At 38.6% G+C, this 7,308-nt stretch overlaps 1 long non-coding RNA gene across 6 annotated transcripts; it reads right to left on the bottom strand.

The window, feature by feature from the left end:
- Positions 1-2,556: 2,556 nt before the first annotated feature.
- Positions 2,557-7,060, bottom strand: LOC100506929 (uncharacterized). Of its 6 annotated transcripts, none has more exons than NR_188405.1 (3): positions 7,001-7,060; positions 6,244-6,488; positions 2,557-3,263 (listed from the first exon to the last, which is right to left on the bottom strand). It is a non-coding gene; the product is annotated as an uncharacterized LOC100506929 (long non-coding RNA). The 6 variants fall into 6 exon arrangements; NR_188401.1 differs by having other exon boundaries at positions 6,921-7,060; NR_188404.1 differs by having other exon boundaries at positions 6,893-7,060.
- Positions 7,061-7,308: the final 248 nt, after the last annotated feature.

Genomic DNA, 7,308 nt, shown 5'->3' on the forward strand with positions numbered 1-7,308 from the left:
TTCTTTGCTTGCAACTGAAGAATTCAGACTAATGTTCTGAGTTATTTGTTTAAGACTTTAGGATATATGTTTAAATATAACACAATTGGCCCAGCATGGTGGCTTGCGCCTGTAATCCCAGCACTTTGGGAGGCCAAAGGAGTTCGAGACCAGCCTGGCCAACATGACGAAACCCCATGTCTACTCAAAATACAAAAACTAGCTGGGCCTGTAATCCCAGTTACTCAGGAGGCTAAGGCAGGAGAATCACTTGAACCCGGGAGGCAGAGGTTGCAGTGAGCTGAGATTAGCTACTGCACTCTAGCCTGGGTGACAGAGTGAGACTGTCTCAATAAATAAATAAATAAATAAAACAATGGATTAGTTCATATTTTTTCACAAATGACTTAGTGATTCACCTATATTTCTGTTTTCTCTGCTTTAAACAGTAAATTATTGTTAATATCAACTCCAACATTCAGCTGGCATAATGGACACATTTTCCTTTCCAATGGACCCAACAATGGTTCCAAAATTCCTATCTAGCTGAAATAAACAGAAAAAGGATTTGTCAAAGTATATTTAAATTTAATTTCTTGCACCAGAATAGAAAGTAAAAATCTAAAAAGCCTGTATCATTTTTTGAAGAGACACACCATTAACATGGACAAATAATAACAAGGTAACTATCCATTCCCCGCAATATATTTTTTAAAACTATCCTGATATTCTGACGCCAGTGTAGTGTAAAAAGGGAGCGAAAGCATCCCTGTATTCTGTTTTTAATATTCTAAAGCAGACTGTATTCTAACTTTCAAGTGTACGAGATGATGATTCACTTTTACAAATAAAGCCATTTGTGTTAGCCATAAAAACATTCTGCCAAGATACTTGTGAGTATTTAGCCCATTTTGGTTGGAAGGGTGACAAGGTAGGTCTCATGTACAGAAGTTCATCTCTTTCTGACTCTTGCGTGTTAATCACACAGCCAATTTTTGTAATAATGGATAGAGCAATGGAAACAAAGACAAAGTCATAGTAATTCCTTGAAATATTATATATTTGCCTAGTGCTTTACATAGTGATTTCAAAATTCTGGCTGACTTGATACTCATTGAATAATTCTGTGGGTAGAGTAAGATAAATGTTATTATTATTCTCCCTGTAATACACTTGAGGGAGCTCAGATTCAAAGACATTAAGTAATAAGAATAATAATACCTAAGATTCACTGAACTTTCGCTAGGTATCTGGAATTAATTTCTTACAAAGGTATTTTCAATAACTTTGTATTTCCATTATCCTCATTTAACAGATGGAGAAATTGAATCCGTAGAAGCTTGAACACCTCGCCCAAAGTCCCATAGCTAATGAGTCACAGGGTCAGGATTAGAATGTGGCTTTCTTCTCACTCCAAATTCAGGAAACACTTTTGCTCTCCTGCCCAAGATGACACAAATAGAAAGCAGCAGATCCCAGCAAGGGCTCCAACACAGACATTTCCACCCGTATTTTACCTCTCTGAAATTGGGACACATCTTGCAATCACTATCTCATACCCTAGCTGGCTCTGCCTGTACATGCAGTCGTCCGTTGCTATTCTGGTGCAAGACTAAACCACCTGCACACTTCAATGCTTGGGCCAATAGACCACTTGAGAACCATTTCAGGAAATAATAAGAGTATTGGTTGTTGCCTGAAAAACTTTCCACTAACACTTTCTGGTAAGACAAAGAAGAGATGGCTAGGTGTGATGGCTCACACCTGTAATCCCAGGACTTTGGGAGGCCGAGGTGGGAGGATCACTTGAGACTAGGAATTTGAGACCAGCTTAGGCAACACAGTGAGACCCCATTTCTATAAAAAAAATGAAAAAATTAGGGCGGGCCTGGTGGTTCACGCCTGTAATCCCAGAACTTTGGGAGTCCAAGGTGCGCGGATCACTTGAGGCTAGGAGTTCGAGACCAGCCTGGCCAACATGGTGAAATCCTGTCTCTACTGAAATACAAAAATTAGCTGGGCATGGTGGTGCAATCCTGTACTCCCAGCTACTCAGGAGGTTGAGGCAGGAGAAATGCTTGAACCCAGGAGGTGGAGGTTGCAGTGAGCCCAGATCACACCAGTGCACTCCAGCCTGGGTGACAGAGTGAGACCCTGTCTCAAAAATAAATAAATAAATAAACAGTAAATAAATAAAATTAAAAAAATAAAAGTAAAAAAATAAAAACATAGCACACACTTGCGGTCTCAGCTACTTGGGAGGCTGAGGTGGGAGGACGACTTGAGCCCAGGAGGCCAAGGCTGCAGTGATCCATGACTGTGCCACTGCACTCCAGCCTGGGCAACAGAGCGAGACCCTGCCCCCCACCCCACAGAAAAAAAGAGGCCAAAATCAAAACTTGTAGGATGAGTGCCAGTGTTCAATGACAATAACATTGCCTTCTTCTAAGAAACTCTGCCCTACCATGCTCTTGATAACATATTTGGTGGGAAAACGAGGACATCAAAGAGTCTGGGTTGCAAAATAATTCTGAAGAATTGGATTCTGAATGAGAGGAAACTTTTGGAAACCTTTCATTTGTATCTCTCATATTTTCCTTTTTAATGAGTATGCAAGAATGAAATATGACAGAATTGTTTAAATATGTTCTAAAAAAGCTCTTTCAATAAGGCTAAGATAAAAATTCTGAATAATACAAAGGCACTGTGTTGGTTTAATTGGCAGTGGTTTGGGGACTTTTATCCCCCTTTTTTATCATGGTGCATGATATAATGGTTGATTTATGTTGATGCATCTTTGATGTGATGAAAAACAGAAGCATTCCAATGAGTCATTTCTCTCTCCATGGTACAAAGGCATTTGGTCTTACTTTTATTTTGTATTTTCTTTGCTTTAGAAAAAAGCTGGGGCTCAGAATATAAGATCCAGATTAGCAGTTAAACAAATGGCTCTTTAAAGTATTACCAACCCATGAACAAGTGATCTTGGAGATTCAAATGCAGCTCGGGATTACTTAGAGCTTTTTAACTTATTAGCTAGGGCCAGGTTTCAGGAGGCCACTGAATCTGGCAAACATGAGCATGTAGAGATGCTTCCATGGGTCCCAAAGAAGTCTTGTATACTTGGAGTTGCAGTTAACTTCAGATCCTTAAAAGCAGGAAGCATGATCATACTCTCGAGATTGATTGATGCATTTTAAAGTTATACAGGTGTTCCACAGCAGGTAAGTAGTTTCAAAACCTTCTATGCAGCATTCAGCGTATTACAAGTTCTTTGCTTGATGCTGGATAGGGAAAGACAAATTAAATAGCAGTCCAAATAGAGAACAGGCACTGAAAATAAATAATAGTGATATAGTGCATCTATGATGCTAAGATGAAGGAATGCCAAGAGCTCACTGGGAAGGACTTCCAAGGCCAAAAATATGTGCTAAATCCTCATGATCTATGAGGAAACAAAGGGAAGTTATTGTTTTAACCAGAAAATAGCAATTTTATTTCAGTAAGTTTTCCTGCACTCTTTAGTTGCCCAAGTTGAATGTTAACTTGCCTAGTGAAGGTTTTTGCTTTGGTGAGAGTGATTTCCATTTGGAAATGTGTATGTATTTTAAAGAAGCTGGCTGCCCTATGTGAAACATAAGACCTTAAAAAATCTATTTCATTTAACCTTGGAAATTAACTAGTCTATAATCTTAAACATCTATTGGATAACAAACAAGCATACTATTTCTTTTAAATGTTAAATTGAGGCCAATTCATTAAGTTAACTCTTCCCCAGGCATCACCCCAAACTCAGTCTTGTAAATGTGAAGTGGCTGTTAATGTCTGTGAAGTCAAATGCCTAGATAATGCTAGTTTCCCTATTTGAAGCTGTTCTTTAAATTCTGGGACTCCCATGAAGACCACACACTATTAAAAAAGTGATAATTCTCCTACCCGGATCTGTTCACTAGGATCTTACTCTTGGAATGCCTCTTGATTTACTGTATCTTATATGTTTCTCTTTCAATTTTTAATTTGTATGAATTAAAAATTGTAATCTGTTTGTATTTTCTCTCAATATATATTATTTAATTGTTTATAAGGCCTCTAATGAAACTCTTTTAGATCATATACGTACACTTGAGTTCCCTTCTATTTAATTTAGTAGTTATTCATACAACAACCATCTATTAAGCATATACCATGGGCAGGGACAGGGTTCAGTGCTATAGAAGGAGCCTTGTCTGAGTAAGGTGAAGAACATGGGCTTTGGAGTCAGCCATACATTAATTTGAACCCTAACTTCTACCAATTGCTAGCTGTAAGGCTGGATTTACCAAGTAGCTAATAAAGCAAATATTTTCTCCCACTCTGACTTATTTTTTTATTCTTTTAACAGTGTCTTTCAAAGGGCAGAAGTTTTTAATTTTGATGAAATGTAATTAACTAATTTGTCCATCTATGGATCATGTTTTTGGTGTCATATGTAAGGAATCTTTGCCTAACACAAGGTCATAAACATTTTCTTCTTCGTTTAGTTCTAGATGTCCTATTGTGTTAGTTTTACATTTAGGTCTACGAACACTTTTGAGTTAATTTTTGTGTTTGGATTGAAGTTTCAGTTTTGTTTTTTTTTCTGGCTCATGAATATCAAATTGTTCTAGCATCACTTGCTGAAAAGACTATACTTTCTTCATTGAATTATCATGGTATCTTTGTTAAAAATCAGTTGTCAATGTATGTGAGTCTATTTCTTCCAAACCATGAACACGATATATCTCACCATTAAATTAGATCTTCCTGAATTTCTCTGTCACATTTGAAGCTTTCACTGTACAGATTTTTCACATATTTTGTTAAATTTATTCTTATTTCATCTTTTTTATGCCATCGTAAATATCGTTGATTTTAACATTCTAGTTTCTGATTATTGCTACTATATAGAAATATAATTAATTTTAGTACAACTTTTTTGAGTTATAGTTCACACATCATAATGTTCAACTTTTAAAGTATAATGAAGATCTAACACTTGTGAAAATTATCAAAATCATTTTTTTTCAAAACTCTGGAAATTAACCAAAGTCTTGCAACAATGGAAGGGCTTTTCCCTGAGAAGAGGCTCTGCCCAGAGGAGTTTATCACAGGTAGACAGAAAGCAGAGGAATCCTGGTCCTTGCCTTGAAGCCAAGGTAATATCTGCCGACAGTTTTAGTCTTTGTTTACCCTGATGCTCTTCTTCCCAGAGAAAGAGGAGAGACTAAAGAGATCTGTCAGAAGCTGAAATTTCAATGTTCCACATTTTGGACCAATTGAACCTACATAAAAGCTACTGGTACCAATAAGGGAGTGTTGCAAGCTTATAAACCTGAACTTCAATCCATACCCAACAATTAACTCAAAATAAGTTATAGACCTAAATATACAACCAACACAATAACACTTCTAGAACTAAACATAGAAAAAAATTCTGTGACCTTGGGTTAGGCAAAGATTTCTCAGGTTTGACAGACATGTCAGTTTAGCTATTGGTAGAACAGACAACTCGGAGTCTGCCATGAAGACCCAACTCTTTTATAGACATGCCACAGTGTGTAAATCCCATTTGGACTTAGAGTCTGGACTTACAATATCCTACTCTAGCCTAGGACTTTAGTCTTTTTCTACATTCTATCATTTCTCTGAAATTCCTGATTGCAGAGAGTTAGTTTATAGGAGCTTTTCCTGGTTAATTTGTTGGCCGCTAATTCTTTTTTTTTTTTTCTGAGACAGAGTCTCATTCTGTCACCCAGGCTGGAGTACAGTGGCACAATCTTGGTTCACTGCAACCTCCGGCTCCCAGTTTCAAGCAATTCTCGTGCCTCAGACTCCCAAGTAGTTGGGATTACAGGTGCCCGCCACCAGGCCCGGCTTATTTTTGTATTTTTAATAGAGACAGGTTTTCGCTATGGCTGGTCTCGAACTCCTGACCTCAGGTGATCCACCTGCCTCGGCCTCCCAAAGTGCTGGGATTACAGATGTGAGTCATTGTGCCTGGCCTGTTACCTGCTAATTCTCTCTTTTTTTTTTTTTTTTTTTTTTTTTTTTTGAGACGGAGTCTTTCTGTGTCGCCCAGGCTGGAGTGCAGTGGCTCGATCTCGGCTCACTACAAGCTCCGCCTCCTGGGTTCATCCCATTCTCCTGCCTCAGACTCCCAAGTAGCTGGGACTACAGGCGTCCGCCACCACGCCCGGCTAATTTTTTTTGTGTGTGTATTTTTTTTTAGTAGAGACGGGGTTTCACCTTGTTAGCCAGCATGGTCTCGAACTCCTGATCTTGTGATCCGCCTGCCTTGGCCTCCCAAAGTGCTGGGATTACAGGTGTGAGCCACCGCGCCCAGCTGTTAGCTGCTAATTCTTAATAGGCAGTATTTCCTTTCCCTTGGTGTATATATAAGATAATCCTTGCATTTATGTATTATTTTACCCCCCAGAACTCTGGAGGTGAGAACGAGTGAGCCTCATGATGAGATTATTGTGGGAACTTTCCTGAGCAAAAGAAAAAAACCAGGTTATTTCCCTGAGTCAGTGGTGCAATTTTTAATCCTACAATGACAAGAATGTTAGAAAGTCACGTGGAAAAGCTTTGAATGTGTGATACCCTCAGGTGTGGTCACCAGAGAAAACTTTAGACCTTTGAATCTTGAAGTCATTTTACGAACAGCAAATTGATAAAGTTCAATCTGTTTTTGCTTAGTGTGTACAGCAGTTAGCACGCAGGCCATTTGATGGTCCTGACTTTTTGCCTGTAAATATAATATTAGAAACTTGTGCTTCAAATAGATGGTGGGTGTTGATGCCAGATACAGTGGGAAAATGAGGTCTGACTATATATAATATAATATAGAATACATATTGTTTGCACCCACAGATTTTGTGTTAGCAAGACCTGCCTAAGAATCCCATGAGATCGATCCTTACGGGCACATGTTCTCCCAGGAAGCATCACGTCTTCCAGTCTCTGTTCTATTTATTTTGTTGCCTAGATTTCATATACTCACAGTTAAAGTGGGTAAAGATGTCAGATGTTGTTCCTTCCTTATTTGCTGATCAGAACCTCCAGCTCTTGGCTGGTTTGTTATGTCATAAATACTGCTTAGACACACACCTTACATGCAGGGTGTTCAGTCCTTGGAGCCTAAATCTAAGCACACAGACCTGGAGCTTTCCATTTTGGGGATATTGTTTCCTCAGTCAGTAATCAGGGAGGTCAGAATTCAGAGCTTTAGGCTTCGAATCTTAGGCAAAACCCAGCAAGAGTTTTGAAAGGACCATAGATTACTCTTAACTGACATGGCATCCCTGAGAC

Source organism: Homo sapiens, chromosome 1, assembly GCF_000001405.40.
Source record: "Homo sapiens chromosome 1, GRCh38.p14 Primary Assembly".
NCBI lineage: Eukaryota > Metazoa > Chordata > Mammalia > Primates > Hominidae > Homo > Homo sapiens.